This window comes from Homo sapiens, chromosome 10 (assembly GCF_000001405.40).
Source record: "Homo sapiens chromosome 10, GRCh38.p14 Primary Assembly".
Taxonomy (NCBI): Eukaryota; Metazoa; Chordata; class Mammalia; order Primates; family Hominidae; genus Homo; species Homo sapiens.
This window is the reverse complement of record NC_000010.11, coordinates 77,179,852-77,205,975: the sequence shown is the minus strand read 5'-3', so window position 1 is coordinate 77,205,975 and position 26,124 is coordinate 77,179,852. Positions and strand designations below refer to the sequence as shown.

The 26,124-nt window shown below is 41.2% G+C and overlaps 1 protein-coding gene across 56 annotated transcripts in view, besides 1 other annotated feature; it reads left to right on the top strand.

Moving 5' to 3' along the window:
* The window catches only part of KCNMA1 (potassium calcium-activated channel subfamily M alpha 1), a 768,207-nt gene that overhangs the window by 431,833 nt on the left and 310,250 nt on the right, over positions 1-26,124 (top strand). For all 56 annotated transcript variants that reach the window (NM_001271518.2, XM_017016222.3, XM_024447990.2 and 53 more), the window contains 2 exons: positions 21,060-21,153; positions 22,444-22,555. In NM_001271518.2, the coding sequence (NP_001258447.1) occupies positions 21,060-21,153; positions 22,444-22,555 (206 nt within the window). The remainder of the gene's footprint in view (positions 1-21,059; positions 21,154-22,443; positions 22,556-26,124) is intronic.
* Positions 4,179-4,707: an enhancer, noted in NCBI's record as "NANOG hESC enhancer chr10:78961027-78961555 (GRCh37/hg19 assembly coordinates)". NCBI's record gives its function as "activates a minimal SCP1, AML or CMV promoter by ChIP-STARR-seq in naive H9 embryonic stem cells {active_cell/tissue: H9 hESC(naive)}" and the evidence as "EXISTENCE:reporter gene assay evidence [ECO:0000049][PMID:30033119]".

Here is a 26,124-nt window from a genome sequence, read left to right as displayed (position 1 = left end):
TCATAATAAACAAATAATACAGTTTTACATCACTGCTTCTATACTATTAGCTCATATAGTTACAAATAGTCTTTGTAGAATTGCCTACCCAGAGGTGTCACTTCAGAAGCTAGTGATAACTCTACAAATTTTTACAATTTCATAGACTTTTAAAAAGTCGTCCTGATTTTTTAAAAAATGGTTTTATATTTAGGGAGAGTGATGACTAGAAGGAGCAGGTTATCAAAATCTAGGCTGATATGAGAGGACAAATTCAAAGGAAAGTTAATGTTAAGTGATTTAAATACTTGGTTCAGATGGACTTCCTAATGGAATCTTCATCATATATGCAGCATGGAGTAAAAACTATAAGAAACCTTCATCAATCTAAGACTGCATTAAAAATTACTATATTTTTTGAAGGTTTAAATATATTCAGCCTTACTGGAAAAATTAGAGCATGTTGATTTATATCCAGTAAGATAAGTTACTCTCCAAGGAGACCCTTTGGGTTAAAATCCTCACCCACACTCCTCTTCATCTATGTATTCTTATGTGGAGATTTTAATTCATCTTTTTCCATTGTTGCTTGAACACCTGATTCCTTGGGTTGGCTTCCTGGAGAAATGAATCAGCAAGAGAAACATGAGCTGACTTCCTCCTATTTGATATGCACACATCTCTAGATTTTTAGCTTTGCTCCTAGTATGCTTCGTGTCAAGTTTAGGTCCAGCTTCCTGAGCTAGAGCACAAAAAAATATATCATTTGAAGCAAAGAGAGAAGAACGAACTGGGGCTTCAATCACCTCTGTGTATTATTTCTGATATAGAACCAATAAGTTTGTGTGCCCACTGCATAGTAACAGACCCATTACCCTGAGACAGCAGGTTTGCAGCAGAGAAGGGTTTAACTATCTCAGGGCACCAAGGGAGGAGATGGGAGGAGAGCCTCAAATTCATCTTTCTGAGGAGCTCTGGGCTGTGGTTTTTAAGAACATCATGGAGCGTGATGGGCTGGAAAATTGGGGTTGTTGACTGATCAGGGGAAGGGGGATTAAATCATCAGAATGTGGAAATTGTGTTCTTTGGTGAGTCAGCTTCTTGTGGTGTTCCTCAGACCTTCCTGGGGTCACCCGTGGGGTCTTTCATTCAGATCAGCTGATGTAGTAGTTTCACTCGTATGCAGGACCTGAAAGACTACCTCACGGGGAAAGCTTAACATTTCTTAATGTTCAAGTTGTTATCTATAGAGCACTTAAGGGGAACTATCATCTTATCACAGAGTCTACATGATTCTAGGACAATAGGCACCAAACCATGTCGAGGAAGCAGGTCAGAGAATGAGTTGACCTCATGCTTAATGCTGAATGTGCTTCAAGCTTGGTTTATTAATTTATTTTTTCCCCTTTCTTCTTCCCTGATTAATTTTATAATGTTTACAGGGGCAACTTCATTTCAATCTTGGTTTCCCAGTTATAGAAGATAACCCTCATAGAAGGAGAAAAGTGCATACTCATTAGTTTCAGAGGAATGACTTTTTTTTAGTTTTAGGCATTTAGATTTTGTGATGCCTAATGACACAGAAATTGAATGCCCTCGGGGAGACTCTCCTGTGGAATTTTAACTATCCCATAGCCTTCTCAGGTCTTGGACCTCTCATGGCTAGTGAGGTCAAATGGCTTTGCTGAGTGGTGAATCTTGTTACCTCCAAGGTCATTCCCATTCTTCTTCTTGCACACATGAGGTGAGATAACCTGAAACTCCCCTGAAACACGGGAAGAGCACACAAATCAGTCCTTTGAATGCACCTCATCCTCTAGGGATTGTAGTAATATTGTAACTGATGTAATTGTCATATAATTTAAGTTCTTTTTTCTTTCTTTCTTTTTTTTTTTTTTCCTGAGAGGGAGTCTCACTGTGTCCCCCAGGCTGGAATGCAGTGATGTGATCTTGGCTTGCTGCAACTTCCACCTCATGGATTCAAGTGATTCTCCTGACTCAGTCTCCCAAGTAGCTGGGATTATAGGAACCCGCCACCATGCCCAGCTAATTTTTGTATTCTATTAGAGATGAGGTTTCACTATGTTGGCCAGACTGGTCTCGGATTCCTGACTTCAAGTGATCTGCCCGCCTCAGCCTCCCAAAGTGCTGGGATTACAGGTGTGAGCCATCACGCCTAGCCTAATTTAAGTTCTGAATTGGTATGGGACTATGGGGCCATTTGAAACCATGTTGGGAGATGGGACTTCCCTAGTATCTTGGTACTGTTGAATTATAATCAGTTTCCTCCAGGTTTGTCTATTTTCTCCCTCAATTCATTTATTTTTCTCCTCCTCCTTAAACATGTATTGAGGGCCTATTTTGCGGGTACCATGATGATGGGAACCCAGACACAAAACACCAAGGCTCTCCCCTCAGGAGCTCACAGTCTAGCAGGGAAGGGAGACAGATACACAAACAAATAAATTACCACTTCATGAGTGATGAGCGCCACAACAGAAGCACCCAGGAAGAAAAGCCTAGAAAAAGGTTCAGTTACCTCTGGGTGGGAGGAGGATCAGGGGAGGCTTTCTGGAGGAGGCAGCCACTGAGTTGAGTGTTCAAAGGTGGATGAGTAAGAGCTTGCAAGGGAATAGCATGGGTGTGAAACAGAGGAGTGAATGCAGCAGCCCGTCCATTCTTAGCTGCTGTTCATTCTTACAGATGTCAAATATTTCTGGGAGTCTTCTGTCTTCCACTGTTACAAAACTTCTTTAAAAATTGTTGTGATTAGGATAGGACCCTTCTTCATAGCAGGAGTTTCCCAGTTCTTTGGGGAATGCTTTGAAAAATTCATTTGTTCCCGGATTGAGCTGTTCTAGTTGTTTATCCTTTAAACAGCAAGAAAAAGATGGTACTTCCAGACTTCTTAAAAGCCCAAGCCACTTGCAGGTAATAACGGTGTCAGGTTAACAGCAGTGACACATCTTCTATTTCAGGAAGGATTGAATTGGCTCTTCCTGGATATTCATTTGCTGAGGCTTCAATTCCAGGAGATTTTATTCTTTGCACATTTCTCTGTTTTCTTTTTGTTCCTGTTAGAGGCAGCTTCTCAGAATGATAAAAACTGTTGACATGTTCCTTGCAAAGTCTTTGGCATTCTAAGGATCCATCCTTATTGCCTCATTTGGCCTTGACTTTACTTCCAATATAATTGCCCATGACAACTTATTTTAGTAGAGAGTGTGGTAGATGGCCATCCTTGGGTGAGTTTGAGGGTGCTGTAAATACTCCTATACTCCAAAACATCTCTTCTAACTTGCAAAGTACCTGAAATTCCACCAATTAGACATTCATTCTTGAAGCCTTTTCAGTTGTTTCTTAAAATCTAAGTAGCTCTTAGTGTCACCCTGCACCTTCATTAAGCAGGTATCACTTGTTGGCTCCTCAGTGTGGTGAGCACTGAGTTCTGGGAAGGACAAAACAGGGACTGAAAAACTAAGGAAAAGGATGGCTTAGCCTGCACCAACTGTACGTGAAGGAAGAGAGTCATTATCACATCAGTTGCATTATTCAGCACAGCTTGTTACCTGATATCTGCTTACCTGAAGAGATTACTGTGGGTTAATTCTAGAAGCTTGCTTATTACATTAACGACCTACATTTATTGACAGCTGATTATCTTGGGGGATTGTCTCTGAGAATTTGTGCAGTAGGTAAATGATGTCTTTGCCTCAATTAGCACTCCTTTGAGAAAGGAACTAAGATAGTTAATGTTGATTTGTATCACTGTGGTTTCTTATCCCTCTTTTATATCTTTTGGAATTGAACACAGTATTATACCTATAACAGGTGCTGAGTAAATGTTTGTTAAAGAAATCAGTCTGTAGACATTTAGAGGCACATATCACCAGAAATAGACCACTAGCCTGATGTCTGGCTACAGTAAAACCAAACAGGAGAATAACTGTTTTTTAAAATTAGAACTTCATTTTGAAATAGTTTAAGATTCACAAGAAGTTGCAAAAACAGGACAGAGTTTCTGTATCCTTTCCAAGCTTTCCCCATGATAGTGCTATATGCTACATAGGCATGCATGGTATGTTATCAAAACCAGGAAATTGATATTGGCGTACTGCTGTAAACTCAAGTACAGATGTTTTGCCAGTTTTTACAAGCACTTTTTTTTTTTTGCTGTGTAGATCCAAGACATTTTATCCCACATAAATTTGTTTTATTACCTCTCCAGTCAGTATACAGAACTCTTCCATCAGCACAATGAAATTCTCTTGTGAGAAACCAAATTTTAAAAAGAAAAAGAAATAACTTAAAAATAAGCACCAACATTTTTATAAGGTCACATGCGTGAACTTTAAAATAATACTAATTTCAGGCTGGGTGCGGTGCCTCACGCCTGTAATCCCAGCACTTAGGCCTGTTCTACTCTCCTTTGAAATGAGGTCCTTCCCCAGCATGCCTTCCTGCTGAGCAATTGCTGCCTGGAGCATCTCCCTGAGTGTCTGCTGTGCAGCAAGGTGGCTGCCACTTTAGGGAATCTCAGCCTGTGCTCCTTTTCCAAGTTCAGTGTGTATTGTCTTCTCCGTAAGTCCATGTATAGAGGGTTCTTTTTCCCTGTGTTAGCATTTGTACACTTGGCCTGGCTTCATGGAAACTCCAAACTAGAATGGACTTGGAACAAATGGAAATCCACCAAACAAATATGACCGCATGGTCACAGCAGCACACAGACAGAACTTTCCTGTTTCTGATTTACCAACATAGGGTACAGAGCTCCCACCACGGTTAAAATTGAGCTAAGTGAGTATCAAACACACTTGGTCACTTTTTAAAGAGAAAGCACATTACCTGAAAATGGCATCTTTCCTCTTGTCAACTCCTGCCAAAAGAAAGCCTCACCCCCTACCCCCTGCACACCCCAGAATTCATACTTTCAGGCAGCCCTCTGGAAACTAAGGACATCTAAATCTAAAGGTCAGGATTCTGTGAGAGAAAACCAGTCCAACATGCTCATGAAATCCTAACTGTGCACAGGGTTGGATGGACACTTAAAAGGCAGTTAAGTTGATGGCTTGACGGTATGACTAACCAAGTTCTTTAGGTAATTAATAGTGGATGCAGCAGAAGTGTTCACTGTAATTTTTCTATGTGCCTGGGTGTGATCACATGTATACAATTTGTCTATAATCTGTTATCTGTAATTTGTCTATAATTGTTGGCATGTGTCTACTATGTCCAGGTACCCCTATTTGAGGTACTGAAATATGTTCATTTTATGTCGATTCTAACTATAATTTAGAGACTGCTCTCCAAATAGCAGAAAGAACAGCTTCTTACTAGGGTGGGTTTTTTTTTTTCCAGAAGATTAAGAGACATGTGCTGTCATTTCTTCATGACACAGATTCCTGCAATAGACATGGGGGCCGTGGTAGGAGAGAGAACCATGTGGTTTAGGAAATTGCTTCAGTGATACTGTGGACCTAATCCCCTCTTCCTAAAGAACTCTGACAGCAGCAGGCCCTGAAGAAGGGGTATTTCCCAGGATATTAAGATACTGTAATTATATGGCAACAATGATGCTCATCTTAGTATGTGCATAGGTTACTTTTTTCCGTGGGGATTTAATTTGACTAATTGACCTCTGTCTTCACAACCTTCTGCTTCCAATTCCTACTCTATATTGTCCCCAGAATTAACTTGCTACAAGACAAGATAATGGTACCACTCTCCAGCATTTAAATTTCTATCAGGCTGGGCGTGGTGGCTCACACTTGTAATCCCAGCACTTTGGGAGGCCAAGACAGGTGGATCACCTGAGGTCAGGAGTTCGAGACCAGCCTAGCCAACATGGTGAAACCCTATCTCTACCAAAAATACAAAAATTAGCCAGCCATGGTGGCAGGCGCCTGTAGTCCCAGCTACTTGGGAGGCTGAGGCAGGAGAATCGCTTGAACCTGGGAGGCAGAGGTTGCAGAGAGCCAAGATCGCACCACTGCACTCCAGCCTGGGTGACAGAGTGAAACTCTGTCTCAAAAACTAGATTTAATAAAAATAAAAAATAAATAAACTTCTGTCAGCTCCCTATTTCCTATAGGATAAAGAGCAGACATGCTTCCAGGGCACACAGATGCTTCACCGTCTCCTGTCTGGCCTTGTTTCTTGCCAACCTTACAATCTACTTAGGCTCTATACGAGGTGTCCTTCCACTCCCAGAATGCACTGTGTTCTCTGTGCTTCTGTCTCTCTGCCCAAGCTTAGCCCTCTGCTTCCATCCCTTCCCCTGCCTTCTCACGCTGATGAGTTTCTAATCCTCACTCAAGGCCTACTGCAAAAGTTAGGCAGAGGCGATCTTCTGCTTCCAGAGTCCTTTGCTTCTTACTTATATTTGAGTACTACTGATCATAATAGCTACCACTGACATAGCATCCATCATGTGCTGGCCACTAACAAAGCAGTTCACGTTTACTAACTCATTTATTTCTCTCAACAACCTCAGGAGGTAGGTATTATTTGCATTTTATAAATGAGGACACTGAGGCACAGCATGATTAAATATCTTATCCAAGGTCATACAAGGTAATCAGTAGAATTTTTAAACAAGCTGCTCTTGCATATCTGCTGCCAGAAATTAAAATCTGGGTAGACTTCTCTGCTAAATGGAAAACTACTCCAGAGCAAGAATCATGTCTTATTGAATTATATGTCTCCAAAACCAGCATAGTGCCTGTCACCAAAGAAAAAAACTCAGAGACATTTGTTGAATGAATGTACAGACTATTATGTTTTTGTTCAAAAAGATAATCCTTTGAAAAGATGTCATTCAACTAAGCCTCTGAGTTTTTAATCTATAAGAGAGAATAAATTGTGATCAAGTGGAAACAGCTGCATCTCAAGGAATGAGGAAGGTAGTGTCGGGAGGAATCCTGTGTTTTGCTTCTACCTGCATTCACTCCCATGTTCTGGGTGGTGCTCAAGTTTCAGTGGGTATGTTAAGGTCTCACTGAGTGTGGAAAGTGAGGCAGTGCACTGCTCATTCACACTGGACCTAAGTTCCCTATCAAGGCCTCCATCATACACGCAGGGAATCAGAAGGCTGAACTCCTGGAGAACATTTTAGAAGGAGTAATTTATAAGCACGGGGCTTGCTCTTCCCCTGTCAGAACTAGGAGGCAGGAATTGTGAGTTAGGACTAGACCGTACCATTTTTTGAGTTGTGTTCAATGTACCAGAGATCATAAAAGGCAGAAGAGGCAAGAAAAATGATAACAAGCCTTATATTAAGCAGGGAGTTTACAGGAAACTAGTTTTTAGATATCCAGTGTAGCCTTGACATTAGAGCGAAGCTTGATGAATCTCTACTGAATTTAAAACAGTATTATTACTCCTTTAAGAGAAATGTTAAGAAATATATATATATATATATATATATATCACATATATATGCTTTTTGCTGATGAATTGATTTTGATAAGAAATACCTTTGAGAATCTTGCTCGTAACTAGGGTTCTGCTAAATGGTCAATATGTATGAGGTGAGCTCACTGTTCACCTGTCATTCATGCTGAGATGAAGAAAAGATGGCTTCACTTGAGAGCGTGGTTAACTTCAGGGTTATAAATGGCTTTCAGGGGTATAGATGCATAGAGTCCCTACCCTTGCACCACCCGAGCTTTCACGACTGTTGGGTTCCTTCAACACTACATTACGCCTTGAGAGTCATCATGAGCTCTGTAACCAAAGTGTTAAGGATGTTGGCACTTAACTGTCTCTTATTTATCTGACCCGCTTCAGCTCTGCTTCTATAATGAACTGTAACTACAGGAAACCATGGTGTGTATCTTTATGTAACTGATGCCTTGTTTCTCCTGAATTTTCACAACATCTTAACAATTATGGTTGATGTTAAAAACTCTCATGAGGTTATTTGTTGAAGTGAAATACATTATAAAAATACATGCATATGAAAGGATGGCCAGGGAAGCCATTTCATTGAGTAACGGCCAGTTCTGTCCTCACCTTCCCTCTGTCTCGCCCCTCCTCGTCCCCAAAGCTGCCTCTTCTCGCGTGTAATGCCAGCGCTCTGTACAGTGTTCTGTTTAGAGTGGTTTGAACATTTTTCTGCCTGTGTCTCTCATTGCTGAAGTAACTCACCTCTCTCATATCGACTCTTACCCAGGAGCCGCACTGCAGACTCTTTGATGTAGGTCCTTTCTGCATGGCAGCTAAGGCCAAGCTGTGGTTTTCATTTGCATGATGCAACCTCCCCCTTTCGGTTGTCGCCTCCAGGTTAACCAGATTCTTTTCCTGCACTGCCCAAGCATGTTGACGTGCTTTCCCCGATGGCCCTGAACGTGGTGAGCACTGGACGCATGCATGAATTAAAGCAGCGAGCATTCCAATACACTGAAGCACTGGGCCTGAGGCTTCTCCTGGATCATCCCTGTGGGCCCTCAGTTTGCTGTGATATCACAAAGGCCACCATGTCCCTTGAAAATTCAAGACTAGGACATTGGAAAAGAGAGAGATAAATCTCCCGTTTTTAGGTTTATGCTGAGCAAAGACTAATGACAAATAATTAGAAGCTAGGACCAGTTTTCCAAGTAACAACCTACCTGATCATCAGTCCTACATGTTCCTGACTCCACCTGGGTGTGCACCAAGTGACCAGGATGATGATACCCTTTCATGTCTTTCTGAATAATGTTACCTGATTTGATTTTGCTTAGATCTAACAAATATCTAAATAAAAAGATATACCTTTTAAAAGCACTTCTTGGGCTAAATGCCTCAGGAAATGCAATTATTGATCGTTTTCATAGTGTTTAGTAAAACTATTAATTCAACTTTAAAAGAAATGAAATGGTACTACTAGGAAGAAATATCGCATTTGTTAAAGCATGTTGGCACTGCATTCAACATCATTGATTAGTAAATTGTGATCATTTTCTCTCCTTGAAATATTTTTTTTTTGCCTTAGGGCTGTCTAATGACTTACTTTAAAACTGCTTTCTTTTCCTTATTTTTTTTAAACTTGTATACTTCTTTCTTGTATTCTCAGAATGGACTTTTATAAAACACAACTGTCAGGATCTGTTTTCTCACTGCATTTCTTTTTTTGTCATTTCAAATAGATACTTTGCATTTTAGACATGCCTTGGTTGTAAGCTGAGAAAAATGAAAGGCGAGGCATTCCAAGCTGTGATAATCCTAGGGTAGGAATAACAGTTCCTAGACAATTCTTGATGATACTAGCTTGTCAGCATCCCTTAGCCCAAGAGTAGGCACTAAGCAGTCAGAATGAAACAAAGCCGAATGCTTCTTATCTTATTTTTAGGTTTTCTTCATGAAATCTGATCTTCTACAATCTGGGGGCTTAGTAGATTGAAGCTCTTCCCACAGTCCTTTTTCCTCCTATTCTATTAACCATATCCCATGTATTATATTGAAATGGACTTTGCTTAGAATTTCATAACATGTTCTTTTGGTAACCAGTAAAAAGATCCTTTGAATGGGAGCATTTCGCTTTTTGAAAGGAGCTTAAATGTAATTACAGTACAGACCTGTGCAGGCAGGCGATCCTGCCCAGCACGTTGGCATATTCTCACTTTATGAACGTTTTCATCTGGGGGCTTGGCGAAGGAAACATCTGATTCTCTTTTGTGAGATTCTTCAGTACAGAGACCCATTCCTCTTTCCCAGAAAAACACAGTGATTCCTCATAAAATGAAAGGATTTCTGAAGCCCAACAGAAAGTGGGGATACAGAGATCCATTCACAGAGACAGAAGAGAAAATCCTAAGAAATCGGCTTCCTGGGGCCATCCTAGGCCTCTCACAGAGATGTTTTTATAATGATAGGAATAACATCTCTAGAGAAGTTCAAAGATAGGACAATAAAATTAAAAGAAGGGCCTGCAGGAGGAAGCAAGGAGAAAGACACTTCACCCCACTGAGCAGGTAATTCATCATATTTCTTTCCAAATTTATACCCAAAAATCTAGTGGATGTCATTGATATGGTGGAAATAGCTATTTATTATTATTTTTCTTTTTTTGAGACAGTCTCACTCCGTTGCCCAGGCTGGAGTGCAGTGGTATGATCTTGGCTCACTGCAACCTCTACCACCCGAGTTCAAACCATTCTCCTGCCTCAGCCTCCCGAGTAGCTGGGACTACAGGTGTTCACCACCACTCCCAGCTAATTTTTGTATTTTCAGTGGAGGTGGGGTTTCACCATGTTGGCCAGGCTGGTCTCGAACTCCTGACTTTAAGTGATCCACCTGCCTCGGCCTCCCAAAGTGCTGGGATTACAGGCTTGAGCCACCATACTCAGCCAGCTATTTATTATTTCTGAAACATGGGCAGGGGAAACCTAATTTTGATAAATAAATGATTTTCAATGTTAATTAGAAGCAAGAAGGAAAGAAAAAAAAAGGAAAAGAAATGTTCCAGGAGATGAGACATTACTTTCATGAAGTTGTCAAGAAGGAAATGAAAAGTGTGCATACTTGAAGATATGATTGTATAATCATAGGGGTTAATAAGTCATTGCCATTTTCCCTATTAATGATGACAGTTTGTTTTAAAGGTAACTCATCCTGTCTGATTTTCCATGGTGGTGTTGGTTTCTACTGCCCAGGTCCTTTATGACATTCCTAAGGAGTGACTCTAGCCTTGTACTCAGCAGACCCATGACTTCTAATCAGCAGCATCTCAGACACTCCGTTTTGGCTGTGAGGCTGCTAGGCTCTCAACAAAACTCCTAAATAGGAAAACTTACAAAACTTCCAGGCCTTAGCTGTCAGCCAAAGACGGAGCTAAGACACAGCTATTTTATTTCCTTGTGCAATAAAGGTATAATTGTCTTCTATGCCAGATGTCAGAAAGACTTCTACCAGGTCTTTCTCTGTGTGTTCTTAAAAAAAATCCTCAACAACAACAACAACAATAACAACAACAACAACAACAAAACTTCAAGATGTTAGAAATAGATATAAGCCATTATAATTATCCTTCAGCATCACATATAAATTCATGTGTAACTTTAAACAAGCTGGTGTCCTTGTGGTGACTATCTATGTTATGTGACATTGTTTTCTGTTCGTCAAAGTGAAGCAGCAGATAAATGGAACAACTGTTTTTTAAACATAATTATTTTTTTTTCCAGATGTTCTCAGGCTTCCTACATTCAGGATCAGCAAGTCTTCAGCATTGGTACTCTTTGTTAGTGTAGACCTTGAGTGCCCTGCTGAGGGGCTTGTGTGCCATTCTGCTTGAGTGCAGATGTGCCAAGAGGTACAAGAGTTGGAACTGTAATAGACCTCTTAGGCTACTGGCTGAAATACTAAGGTTCAGAATAAGAAAGAGATACGTCTCAGGCATCTCATTATCCGCAACTGTCAGTCCGGAACTCAGAACAGGCTGGTTCTAGCTGTCGATTCAATAGTTTTAGCTTCTGTACTCCAAATCCTTACAGGTAGACCCATAGCAAGGTGCCATTGCCAGGGTCATGCCATCCAGGTATGACAGGACTATGTCAAAGCCAGGTAGGAGGGCAAGAAAAGGGAGTATAAGGCATAAGTTAAATAGGGGACTGGTGAGATGACCAGGGGAGGCCCAAAGAGTCCAAGGCAAACATCTGGAGAAGGCTCAGACAGAATTTTGAAGTCTGCATCTAGTAACAGCCCAAAGAAGTCCCACAGTGATTTGACAGTCTGTTATGCTATGGGAGTACCAGCCTACCTGCCCAACCGTGCCCTGATTGGCCAGCCTTTGGCAAATAGAGAGCTCTTCTTTTCTCTTAGGAGCCTCTGCCATCCCCTGTATGAATATGAGGGCTTCTTATTTGGGAAGCCTTGATATGAAGTGCCTTGAAACTGTACCCTGAGCTACTTTCTCTAGGATGCCCTCTCTTTCAGAAATGTGAGCTCCAGGCTGTTGCTCCCCAATGGCTAGGGGTTGTTGGCTATCCCTGGTTATAGATTATTGTTTATCAGCCTCCTAGCACATAGGTGGCAATTTTAATATCCAGAAAAAAAAGGCATAGGAAGCAGAATGTAGTGGTTACATGAATAGTCTATTCTTGTTTCCCTAGGACTAAATTCCTGTAGATGTGAGAGGAGTATGGATCCAGGGGTCAGAGGTTCCATTCCCCATGCCAGCATTTGTGTCTAGATTCTCAGCTCTCCATTCAGACCTGGGACTTCTCTTCTCTTTCCTTTCCCCCATTTCTAATCACCTCATCTAGGCTGTCCTGTTTTGTGAGTGGTCCCAGAGTGGGGTTGGGGTTGGATGGAGAGCATATATTTGTGCTGGGAGGCTGGGGATGTTTGTGTGTACACGTTGTGTGGGTGCCCACCCACATGAACCACTCCATACCTATACATGGCTCATTGACCCTGCCCTCGAAGAACTTTCACTCTGTCTTCTGGTATATGTGCATAAGTGCATATGCATTTAGTGCTATTTGAATCACCTACTCCATCCCATTCCTTTTCTAGATAAATAAGGGTTCCCTAAAAAAAAGGGATGGCTAGAATCAGTGGAGGGAGTGGAACGAGTGAGTAGAATTGGTCAGTCATGATTCCTAAGACAGTTTAGTGAAAACTAAAATCAAGCAATACTTGTTTGGAAAGACTCTGTTTTATGTAGTAGCTTAGCTCTGATTTATTACATAGAAGTTGCTGGCAAATATGAACACTAATTCTACTCTGGTAACAACTGTGATTGAAATAATTGTAGTCTGCAGATAAGCTGGAGAAAACAAGCATTAGTGGGTAGGTTGTCTTGGACATCATTCCAAAAGTGTAACAGTGAAAAAGTACGTGCTCTTAGAGAAGAAAACTTACAAGAGATATTTACAAGACATATGACTGGTTCAGATCTCTGCCTCTTATGTAGATCCGTGCTAAGCCAACCAGGCAAGGAAAGCTCTCATCTCTAAAAAAAAAAACTAGGAAAAAAGGAGAATAACAAACTCCTGTGGCCACTCATTAAAGTGACTTATGGCTTTCTCTGTCAAGAAATCTTGGCTAATTATTTAGCATTTATGAGACTGTGTGGCTGCCTTCATGGAAATATAATTTTCACTTTTTCTTCTTTAATACTCTATAGAATTATACTAGGCATTTGTGAAATCTTACAGTAGCCCAATGCACAGCCTGTTGGGCATTTGGATTACAGTGCAACACCAGATAAAGAGGCAGTAAAGCAGATACAAATGAAAAAAATAGAAACAATTGATCCTATCAGTTTTTGTTCAGTTGAATGATTGCCTTTTGGGGGCATTTTCTACAAACAGTTACTATTATCACTATTATTATTACCTTAGTTTTGGAAATTACTATCACTTTTGAGTGCTGAGTCATCTGATTCAGTCTTAGAACAACGTTGGGAATTCGTAACCTTATCCCCAGTTTACAGAAGAGAAAACAAAGACTTGAAGAGGTCAAATTATTTGCTTAAGATCCTATAGCTAGGAGGTGATAGGGCTGGAACTTTAGCTCTTCCATTGAATTCTAAAACTACCTAGCTGCCAACCACTTTTGAGGTCAACTTGTAATGCCCGTATTTTGCTTTTGCTATACCTATCTAGGTCTATCGTGGATAAGAAATATGGAATGAAGATGGGAAAGGAGACTCTTAGTTCAGATATAATATTGAAGTCTTGTTAGATAAAATTTAAAAGAACTTCATAACAAACAAAAGGGTTCTCGCCACCTGAGTTTCTTGAAAGCAAATGATCTGTGTGTGTTTTATTGAGAAATTTATAAAGAATTGACATATTCCATTCTCTCTGTTAGCAATCTATGTCATTTTCTTTGTCTCCTAGAAGAATGTTTTACTCTTAGGAATAATTATTCAGGTAGACATCCTGAGCCTTACAACTGCTCTGAAGTCAACTGCTATCATTGTTTCAGGAGTCTCCATATTACTCAAAGCTCAAGAATACAGAGTGTATATGGATGCTAAAGAGTTGTTAGGGTTTTTATACTACTTTCCGGTATGCTCCAATTCATTTCAACATGGAATACATATATTTGTGGCTATTGGATCACATCTCTTCAACTGAGCAGAGCTATAATTAGAAGCCTGCTGCCATCAAAAGGATTAATAGTCCTGTTGATACAAACCCATAACTGATGACTTCCCAGTAAAGCCAGTTAAACAACCAGCTGGCATGGGATCATAATCGATCAGTACTGCAGAGTAACAAAAACTGTTTTCTATTTACATTAGAGTCATTTCAAGGTCTAAGAAAAATGTTTTAAGATTAAAAAAGGGGGGCCCATTTTGATGTTATCATCATTACTATTGATGGATGATTGACCACAAACTGACCCATCAAAGGTGACCACATCTTAGAAGATAACTATTCCATGATGTCTGGGATAAAGTGAAGAGGCTTTATTCTGTTTGGTAAAACTAAAAACTACACAACTTATTGAACACACATGCCCCGTCCAGTGTAAACATGAGAAGAATCGATATTAGAAAGATAAACTCTTAGGTACACAGCTCTGATAAGATAAGTAAAATGGCAGCATGAAGAAAACCAAAAGAATACAAAGCTTTCAGCTTGGATCCCGTCAGGTTCAGGGCAGTCTTGGGGTGTTGTCCCAAGTTCAGGAGAAAATGTTCTATATAAATATTATTGCTTTCTCAATGATGAATTCATATCATGTCATTCACACTAAATCCATTATTGTTATTAGCTCACAAAATATTTTTCTGTGATCTTAAATTTTATGAATAATAATATCAGTTTCTAATTTGAAGTACATTGCAAAGACTTGCCTCCTTTTAAAATTAGTCTGTCTCATAATATTCTGGCTGGCTAGATGCTTTTATTCCAGTGTAGGCAGTTTATCCAGGATATCCAGAGGTAGCCAGGAAAGCTTCAAATCACTTAGACCTACTCTCTTGGTTATAGATAGATTCCATAAAAATCCATATCCATATGATATCATCTTTTTTATTTATTTTGATTGGATCAAATGGGATGCAAAGCTTATTAATCATCTAGTTCATAATTAAGAGTCTTCAGAGTGTCTAAGTATTATCAGCTTTCATTATCTTCATCCTTGTTCTCCTAGAATAGGAGAGGGTGAGGGAAAATTGGGCCACTTGAAGGGTCATTCATCTTTAATCAGTTGGATAACTAGGAGTTATCCCTCTATAAGCAGAAGAACTTCCCCTCAGCCGATGGGATCAGTCTTCCTGATACCACCACCCCACACGGGGTCCCAGAGAGGACTTCTGGGGATTATTAGTGTCCCACATGACAGTCTCTACAGAGCAGGGTTAGGGTTAGGTACAGGTTGAATACATCTGCTTCCTCTGCATTTTCCTAGACCACCCAACAGACACATCAGTTATTTTCTAGGGCAGTTTGTCCTCCTCTATGAAGGATTTATGAATCAGTCAACCCCCATCATTTTTGCATGAGCCCCAGGCGAGGCTCTGTAGATAGCAGACACTATGTCTTATGCTTCCTCTTCCTCTCCAAGAAGGCTGCACTCCATCTGGAGAGGAAGTGGTATGGCACAAGGCTAGTGGGTCTCTATCCTAACTCTACCACATAGCTGCAGGGTCTTGATTGGATATCTGAGCCTCTGCTTCTCTGTCTGTAAAATGGGGATTATAGTACAATATCTACTTTATTCTGCCATTTTGTGAGGACCAAATGCAATAGCATATGTAAATTTTATACAATTGTCAGGTATTATTACATTGAATTGAAGAATAATTGAATATGAACATAATGAGGCAGTTTAGAATTTTTTTCCTCCCAGTAGCATGGGAATTCAGAGATGGGAGAGGTCAATGAGGGCACAAGTAGTTTGCTGAATCAAGCCTGGAGGTTGGCCTCGAAGACTGCCCAAGGTTTGAACACAAAGAGTAATCAGCAGTTGAAGAGGCCACAGAGAAGGCATAGATTTAAAATTAGGGAATACATGGGTCACATTCATGAAATAATGAAGGCAAGGGTTTGGACTGAAACATAGTAGAAAATAAAGTAAGAGATGTAGAATGAGTTTAGGTTTTAGAAATTCTTCCTAGCCAGGCTTAGAGTTACTATATGAAACAGGCAGGGACCGTGATGGTGGATGAATGACATTTTTAATTAAATTAATTTGGCAACATTGCAGAGGTGAGACTAGGAAAAGAGTCTAGAATCATTAGGCTTATTGCATTGACTCATGTCTGTGGTGCTGTGGGCCTGAACTCTGCCTGTCCATAATCCTGGTGGGAATTGAGAGGGCCCCATTCAATTTAGAAAGGGACTAGCCACAAGAGTGAGGAGAATTTGAACGTTGGAAATTATTTCACAAAATGATATCTTGTTCCTCAGCCAGTCCCGTCCCTAGTAAATCATCTTGGGTGTGTGTTATTGTTGTTGTCATTCTTAAGCTACTTACCATTTCTTTATCCCTTGTAAATGATGGTCTCCGTAACCCCTCCCCATCTGTACTTCATCATTTTTCCTTTTAATCTTAATCTAAAATGTGCTCAGCAGGTACTCTCTGATTGTTAATTGGAACGTCCACTGGTGAAGCTTGCACAGTGGCATTGCAATTGCTTCCCTGTATCTTTTTAATTTTTTCACCCCCTTGTTCGCATCTGAAACAGAAAATGTCTGTTCAACCCCTTGATCCCAGCAATTAGCTAAGTGGTAGGCAGCTGGTTATCTGGGGGCTGGCTCAAACACTGAATCATCTCTGTTCAGGTCTGAATGGGAAGCTTCTCGAGCAGCAACACCTATAATTAGTGTGTAGTTGCAAGAAAGGTTTTTTGGGAGTGGCAGGTCTCAAAGCGGTGTTCCCAGATAAGCAGCATCCCCATTATCTGGGAAACTGTAAGAAATGCAAAATCTAGGGCCCCCACCCCAAACCTACTAAATCAGAAACTGGGGATGGAGCCCAGCAAGATTTTAACAAGCCCTCCAACTGCATGCCAAAGTTTGAGAACCACTACCCTGGAGAAGTAGCTTCACAGGGTTCGGCAGCCAGACTCAGGGAGGTGGGAAAACAGACTGCAGGAAACCCAGGGAAGTTTAGAGGCTGTGAGGAGCGGGTGATCCTTCCCTCTTGGAGATGAGGAAGATGCCCAGAGGAACAACTGCTAGCAGTGAGATTTTGTGCTGAGAGCTCCTGCCCTCTGAAAAAAAACCTGGGTAGCCCTCACTTGCCTTGTGCTCTGAAAAGATAAGTTCTTAAGTCAGTCTTTGGGAAGGTCTGTTGGATCATCCTGCTCAAGAGTCTTTTTGAAAATTCTATGACTAAGTAGATGAGGAAAGAGAAACATTTCCCACTTTGGGTGAGTCTCATTTTCCTCTGTAGAGGCATCTAAATGCTGAGGATGTACTTACTTGATGGCCAAGAGGAAATAGGAGTTTGTATTTCAACCTCTACCCTACAACTGAACATTTACTCCATAAGAATCAACTCTTTACTGAGGCTCTTTTGAAGGTGCTCAGTCATGGAGTCCTGGTCAACATGCTAAATTTGCCTGTGGTTTTAGTATCACACTTGTTTCATGGATTATGGGAGCCTAGAAATGAATAGTCTGCCACTTACCAAGTATCTTATATTCTCTAATTATTAAGAGGATATAAGTTAAGTTAGTTAACCCGTAGCAATTTAGGGTAAGTCAGTTTTCTACTACCAGAGGCAGAACTAGTGTTATTTCAGTTCATAAAACTCCACTTTTTTTTTTTTCCTGTTGGCAACATATGCCCATGTAAATCCTTCTGAGGTGGATATGCCTCATCAGACTGGAAATCTAAGTCTGTGTGTGATCCAGAGTCACTTTCCTTTGTAGTTTTTTTTTCTTTAAAGCACAATTTCTTTGCTAGCTTTTGAAGTTTCTGTGTATCTAGACAAGGAAACTCCTCCTACTTTACACAAGAAGGGAGAGGTGTTTGTATTTCATTCTCCATCCTATAATGTGCATTAATCATTAAGATGAAGTCTCTTTGGGAGGAAAATAAATCCTGGTTGATATGGCCAACTCTTTTGTTGTTGAAATATGTATTCTTTTTTTAAAGGATCATTGAACTTCTCCATGGGTTGTTTCCATTTGGGGAATGAAATAATGGGGATTTGGAAGCTCCACTCTGTGGTCTCTGATTGTGCGAGTCCGTAAACTACAGGCACTCAGAGGACTTATCTCAGAGGGGATCTGATAAACAGTTCTGTTGCCACTTGAAAAAAATCAGGCAGGACATTTCTCCTGGGGCTGTAGTGGCAAGCAGGAAATAGCTAAAAGGGATAGAAAGTACATTGCCCGATCACTCATCCTATATGGGTCTTTTGTCCCAGAGTTTCCTGCTTCTCTGCCTGCCCCCTGCCCCCTCATATTATTGAGGTATGCTCATATTACCTGCCAGCTCCAGCCAGAGGAAAAGCCACCCGCGCCAGCGGCATCATTTACTTCCTTTAGTATTTCAGCTCCAAGTCTAGTACGCAAGGAATGATAATGAAACATGATGAAATCGGTTCTAAATTTTTTGAAAGGATTAGAGAAAAGGAAAAGGTCTTGTATGGCTTCAACATGGTTTCCTGTAAACCAGGGGTGTTGTTAAGGTGCGTTTTTCAACACCCATGTCCTCTAGCTTCAAGCCCTCTCACTGTGGCCATTGAACATAAGCATTATGAGGAGGGATGACAGAAAGGACCAGGAAGGTAAGAAACAGTGGAGAAGTCACTGCAGCCAATTCCTTATGCTCTTCTCAATACCTGTTTCCATTTATGTTGAATCCAAGTATCCTCTGTGGCATTCAGCTCACATCTCTCCCCCAACTATTCCATTTTCTACCACAGCCTAGCAAATACTTTTCCAATTAGCTGTATTTCTAGGTTACCACCAAATTAACCACAGAGGCCACGGGATTAATAGGAGCTAGGGAACTCATGATGGCCCCAAATATGCCACCAGTAACTCCACCAATAACGACTGTGAGGGCAACTGTAAGGTTTTGGCCTTGGTGAAACAATAGTCAGTTTTCCATGATAGTCTTGGAAACCAAGCCCTTTTTTTCTCTCCCCTTGACTGCGTATACATCAATCTTGATGACTGTGAGTTTATAATGCACAGCTATGTGAGTCCCCGCTGGCACAAGTGAGCACCTGAGTACAGTAGTTACCTACAGATCTCCCCATCCTTGCTTGCTTATTCTCTGACACACACACACACACACACACACACACACACACACACACATTTACTCTTTAGTAACGTATCCTGCAGAGATGCATTGTCTCTTCAACCCTGGAGTCTATAGGATTTCTGGTCAACCTAGTTCCTGTACATTTTTCACTGCAACTAGAGTGGCTGGGAACTCTGACACCCATGGACCTTTGGGTCTTGTTTTTGAAACAAAAACAAGCACCCCCATGGCCTGAGAATTGCAGAAGTATCACCGATTCACTGTAGCCTGGATTTTCCTTTTTTCATCGAAATTAGTACCTGTGTAGGAGAGCAGGCCTAGAGCCATGGCAGGCTGTGATATTTGGCTTCCTTGCTTGTGTCTCCTTTCAGCATTGGACTAACCAAATTCCATGCTGTCTTTCTACCCAATTCCCTACCTTAGTGAAAACCTGGCAATTGTCGTTTTTTTTTGTTTTTTGTTTTTTTTTGAACTGTTTTTCAGTGTTGTTTTTTGTTCAGTCCACCTAGTTTGTGAATGCAAATAAAGGTTACTCTTAATGCTTGTCTGGAGATTTTTCCACGTGATTTGGGAGATGATATAGGGCATGTTTGACTTGTAGCAGAGATGAAGAATGGATAAATCCAGTGCATGGAACATGATCGGAGATTCCCACAGACTAACTTACCCTGCCTCTAAGTGGGCCCCGAGTTCCTCTACTGCACAGATTCCTGCCTGTTGAACAGCCAAGCGTTGTCCTTACAGAAGTGCAACTATACTAACTGGTATTGCACACAGTGATTTCCAAAGTGGCACTACTAGGAAATCCTTCATCTTCCATTTCTCAAGCTGGCCCTCTCCTGGAGGGAGGAGGTCTGTCGCTTCCCTTTAGCTAAAGTGTTTTGCTTCTCTTGGTATTCTGTCTCCTTTCCCTCACCTCACTTCACCTTCACGTTCCTGGCCTGGGTGTTACTATTTACCTACTGATCACAGAATACTATGTGAATTTCCATTCACAGCTTTGAGTGTTTATGAGGCTTTCCTACTTCCCACCCAGCCCAAACCTTGGGACTTTCCACACACTGATCCTCTGATCAGTTTGACACAGGAAAGCACACAGAAGTCTTGTACCAGTTTGTATAGTAGTACCCTTTTGAACTGGCGACTCTTGAAGTAGAGTGTGCTAGGGGTTTGCATTGGCTGCTCGACACACACACCAAGTCAATTAGCATGCATGCCAAAAAAAAAAAAAATTAACCCTTAGAGTACTGCTTCAACCTTTTGGTTTAATGGTCTGAATTTGACTGGTCGGACAATGCTTCTTTCCCCAGATCCGAGTCCTGCACAGAAAGTCTGTGCTTAATCTAGCCAGAACCTCACCCAGGATCCTCTCCTCTCTAGCTTTCTTGAGATGCTCCTGGGTCCTGAATTTATTAATCAACTAATGGTTTTTAAAAGGTCCAAAACACAACCACTGTGTTTAATTGAAAACAGGCCCCACTGCCAATGCGTTGGAGGGCATGAGGAACTGTGTTTTAGCTTTAGTATGTGTCCTCTCAAAGAAAGAAAGAAGTTCTTTAAGGGTTAATATGAAATTAAGGAATTTGGAGGCCTCTCCTGCTTGTCCTTCCTCCAGGGTATCTGCATGATCCTCTTTAGATTCTTAGTTCAACTGCTGAATGATGATAAAAAATGATAGTATATAATAATTTCGAAAACAATAAATAAAAGAACAGTAGTTCCTGAATGGTTGAATGGAAAGACCCCTTGGCAATGCTTGCTTGATGATCCCAGGAGGCAGAAAGACCAAATGTTTTCTTTTATGAATATTCATTTCATCGTCTACCCTAAGCACTACCACTTCTCAGCATCGTGGGAGACAGGATGATACTACCTGTCATTTACCTCTTGCTTTTTCTTCTTCCTGTCTAATAGCCCAATAGAATCCTGCCAGAATTTCTACAAAGATTTCACATTACAGATCGACATGGCTTTCAACGTGTTCTTCCTTCTCTACTTCGGCTTGCGGGTAAGTTTGTGCAACATTGTTCAGTATCACAATGGGGTGTTTCAGTCTGGGACCCAGGGATCATCCCCCTCAGCCTCTGCTCTCGCAGTCAAGATATTTCCAGGAGAAACAGCGCACCCGCATTCTGATTTTCAGTCTGAGAGAGAGCCCTCTCCTTAGCTAAGCATTTTCTGGAATTCACATCAGTTTTGTTTCAAGGGGGAGAAATAGGGATTGAAGAAAAATGATGATGTATCCACCGGTGGATTGTTTCTCATCTCTCTATTCACATAATGCCCTGTTCCCTTAAAAATTAAATAGAAATAGGCTGAGTGTGGTGGCTCACGCCTGTAATCCCAGCTTTGGGAGGCTGAGGCGGGTGAATCACCTGAGGTCAGGAGTTCGAGACCAGCCTGACCAACCTGGTGAAATCCCATCTCTACTAAAAATACAAAAGTTAGCCAGGCGTGGCGGCGGGCATCTGTAATCCCAGCTACTCAGGAGGCTGAGACAGGAGAATTGCTTGAACCTGGGAGGCAGAGGTTGCAGTGAGCTGAAATCACGCCACTGCACTCCAGCCTGGGCAACAGAGTAAGACTCCATCTCAAAAAAATAAAACAAAACAAAAGTAAATAGAAATAAACCTCTTCAGCTCTTAAAATTACGTTTAGCAGTGTTCACTTAGCTGAGCCCTGAGAGAGCAGTTGTGAGTATGAATGAAAGGAAGGTGAGGAGAGTAGATGGATGGAATTTTGTGTGTGTGTGTGTGTGTGTGTGTGTGAATGCGTACATATGTGCTTTATTTATAGTTATATTTACATGAATGAGTCTAATACAAGTAAAATCACCCAATCTTCCCTATGAAGCTGTTGGGAACCACAGAAAAATACACTGCCTGATCTTTCTCTTAAGACTAGCATAGCATATAGTTAGTCTATATAGGGCTCTCTATGGGGCACTAGAAAACGTGTGTGTCCAATCATAAAAGCATGTGCTTTGTGTAGATATGAGAAGGACATAATGTCTCCCTCCAGACCTTAAAAATTAAATAGAAATAGGCCGAGTGCAGTGACTCATGCCTGTAATCCCAGCACTTTGGGAGGCTGAGGCGAGTGGATCACCTGATGTCAGGAGCTCGAGACCAGCCTGGCCAACATGGTGAAATCCCATCTTTACTAAAAATACAAAAATTAGCCGGGCGTGGTGGCCCTATGAAAACTCAAAACTTACCCTTTGACAAAAGAGTGTACATTGGATGCCAGCACCATGCTTCTCATGTTTTTTCTCTTTCTTATTTCTTCTTTCCCCCAGTTTATTGCAGCCAACGATAAATTGTGGTTCTGGCTGGAAGTGAACTCTGTAGTGGATTTCTTCACGGTGCCCCCCGTGTTTGTGTCTGTGTACTTAAACAGAAGTTGGCTTGGTAAGTCAGCCTCTCTTTCCTTCTCCTTCCTGGTTCCTGAGTCATGGCTGAAGGACAGAATTTGCAGTGGATGAGGGGGCTGTCTCCCTACAAACAATGTTGTATGTATTAATGTGAACAACGGGCTCTTGGAGTTTTAGAAGTTGATGGTGGCAGCTCTCTTTGGAGCACTAGCCCCAAAGGGTTTGCACAGTTTGCGCTTCAGGCAGTGCAGTTTTATCATTGTCAAAGCCTAGTGGTCATCACTGTCACAGCCAGGGCCTTTATGTTCATGGTTCTGTCACTTTTCATTCAGGAACTTAGAGTCAGGACTGGATTAAGAAGCCCATGGGGGTAAGGCCAACTTTCCGAGTGGCTGGCTCAGGTACCCCAGAGGCCTGCCTGCCAAAGTTAGCTTTGGTCTGCTTCCAAAAAGTGGGTTCTGCATGGTCTATTTATAGGTACAAGGTTCTTTGTAGGGCAGGGAGAGATGAAGCTTCTTGAGTCATCTCTCACCTTACAGGAGACTGAGGTCCCTTTCTGTGTTAAGGGGAGAGTGCTGCTGGGCTGTACTGTACAGGGCACCTCCTGGACCAGGACTAGAACACTTTAGTGGAGAAAGTAACTTGACCAGAGGATAGTCATGGAAGCCCAGGGCTTAGAGAGACAGCTTCAAGTTTCTCATTGCTGCGTTGATTTCATTTTTTCCCTGAATTCAGAGTATTCCTGCTGTCATGGGGTCTACTAGGGAAGAAGGCAGGCCGAAACAGAACCTGGAGGACTATTTGTGGGTTCCTTCTGTCCTTATTTTTAGGATTTTTGGCTTAATTATTTAAAAAGTAATATGCATGCATTGTAATCAATGAAAACAAAGATGTGTGAAGAGAGCATTCATCATCTTTTCCCCTTGCCTCCATCACTGCCTCCTCCTTTAGACACCCACGGTTCCCAGGCCTTCACATGTGCACACATGATAGTGTTTTAGAGATGGTGGTGTTTGTATAAGAAATTGTTTCAAATAATTACATTGCACCACAATTTGGCTTCCTAACTAATCATGATGGACATTCCGTCAGCTCTGTGATAACTCATTTTGTAAGAGTTGCATAAAATTCCATAATTTGTTTGTATCGCAGTATATTCAGCCATAACCCTAATGATAGACCACCTGAATGTTTTCCTTTTCCTTTTATTGCTGCTAGAAACAATGGTTTAATAAACACTGTTATTCATATATTTGTATAATTCTAATTCTATCAATAGTTCCAGGTTCCTGGAAGAGGAACTGCTGGTTCAAAGAATATGTGTATTTTCTTTTGTGCAGACATTGATGGATAACTTAAAAAATGTTGTGTCAAGATAGGCTTCCGCTAGCAATCCATTTTGATGCCATTGCTAGCACTGGGAATTTATTATATACCTAGTGTCAAGTATTTTTTTAAAAAATAAGCATCTTCTTAATATAGTATGTGTGGTAATCTCTATATTATATGCACATACACGTGTGCATGCATATATATATATATGTATGTGTCCATATCCTAAAAAGATTTCTTTTGCTACAGTTTTCTCATTAGAATTATATTCTCTTGCTCTAAGGAAAAGTTTTTGTTTTGGACCTGAGATATGCTTGGTTAGACTGGATTTTTTGCTTATCGTATCCTGATTCCTCCTTATTTTCTCCGTATCGTATCCTGATTCCTCCTTATTTTCTCCTTATCCTGATGAGGCTAGTAGAGTCACACACAAATCTGAGAAGTGTCCTCAGTGTAACTTACGTGGCCCTGGGTGCCAGCAGTCCCAGCTGCTGTAGCTTCACTGCTAACTGGCTTTGTGACCTGGGAGCTCAATTTTCTTTACCTAGCCTGTTGTTTTTCATCTGTAAGATAAAGATTTGGCTAGATGACTTCGAAGAATCTTTTAGCTCAGAAAGTCTTTAAGGTTCTTGGGTCATTAATGGGAAATTTGGGATCTAGGTCATTGGGGTGGACAGGGAAGCTAGTAGAATTCTATCAGCAGCACCCCTGAGTCAAAATTATGGATGAGTTGTTAACAGGGACTCCTTTTAAAACATCTTGTTGCTAAGAGTTCAAACACATACCCATGCACACACAGGGAAATCGATGGGGAAGGGGAGAGGTGGGATCTGCCTTCTTCACTGAGCTGTGCTTAATTACCCTGTGCACTCGAACAACCACTTTGCTTTTCTGGATCCTCAGTTTTCTCATCTGAAGAATGGGGGTTTAAATGAAATTACCTTCTAGTCCTCACACTTCATGAATCTGCACTTTCTGCCAGTGTCCATTGTCTCTTGGTCCCCTGTGGGCCTGGGTGATGGAAGGGCTCCCTGGTGACTGTGGTGGAGACATCCTCCTCTGCAGTGAGCAGAACATGCCCCCGGTAAAAGTGTGGAGCCCAGCTTCCTTGTGGTGAGTGACACGTTCCCTGAAGCATTTTAGGGCCAGGAGTTCTGGTATGCTTTGAAATCCATAGCCTTCCTGTGGATGATTTAATTCTGATTTTTGGAGATATGTTGTGATCTCATAAAAAATCTATTGGCACAAACACAGAATGGGGGTGAAAAAAATTGAATAGGAAATAAAAGAGGTGGAAATGAATTTCTAATGAGATACATCTTTGTATCAACTGTGGTCGCTTTCCAAAAGAAATGTGCTCTAAATGTGCTTCCATTTGTATATTAATATTTATTGAGCATCTACTATATGTCAGGTACCATTCCAGATGATTGGGAAACAACAGTGAAGAAATAGAGTCCTATCCCCCTACCCTCCTATACTGCAGTGTTGGGAAAGCAGGAAACACTGAACCTAATAAGGAAGTAAATGATACGGTATGGTTAGGAAGCATAAGTACTATTGAAATTGAACACATAGAACAATAACCTTTTGGGATATGAAATAATAATAACAAAAATAAAAAAACCTCTTTCCTCTTGTAGGAGAAAGCACCTTTAATGAAATGCTTTAGGTTCTTTGGTAGCGAAATCTCCTTGGGTGAAATCTAAAACTGATCTCCCTGTTATGGAAGAGAATTCAGTACAATAATATTTCAAGGAGGTTCTCATCTGACTTAATACATGGGTTATTACATTGTGAAACAACCATTGTACCAATGAGCTTCCAGAGAGAAAATGAACATTCCCATGAGATATGACTTATAAAGGAGAAGAAATAATCCCATTAAATAGGGGCATTTCAGGCATGGCTGCCCTTCTCCTGGAAAGTGGAAGGGTGCTGCCTTTTCTGGCTGAGGTTTGGGATAAGATGCAGGAAACCGAAGTCTATCCCCATTCTCCTGCACAAACTTTCCTGGCCCTGCTGAGGGTACAGGACTGTGCGGTAGCTGGCTCTGTGGGAGATAAAAACCAGAGTGAATGCAGGGTCCCTGCCCTTACCTGTCCCAGAACGCTCCCCACACCGTGTTTAGTTTTCAATTGTCGGCATATGATTGCGTGTTGTATAGTACAGAATATATTCATTGTGCAGATCATCCTAGTGCATGTAACGGTGTACTCATAGAGACACTACTATGTAGTCAGCTCCTACTGTGTGATGGGCACTCTGGAAAGC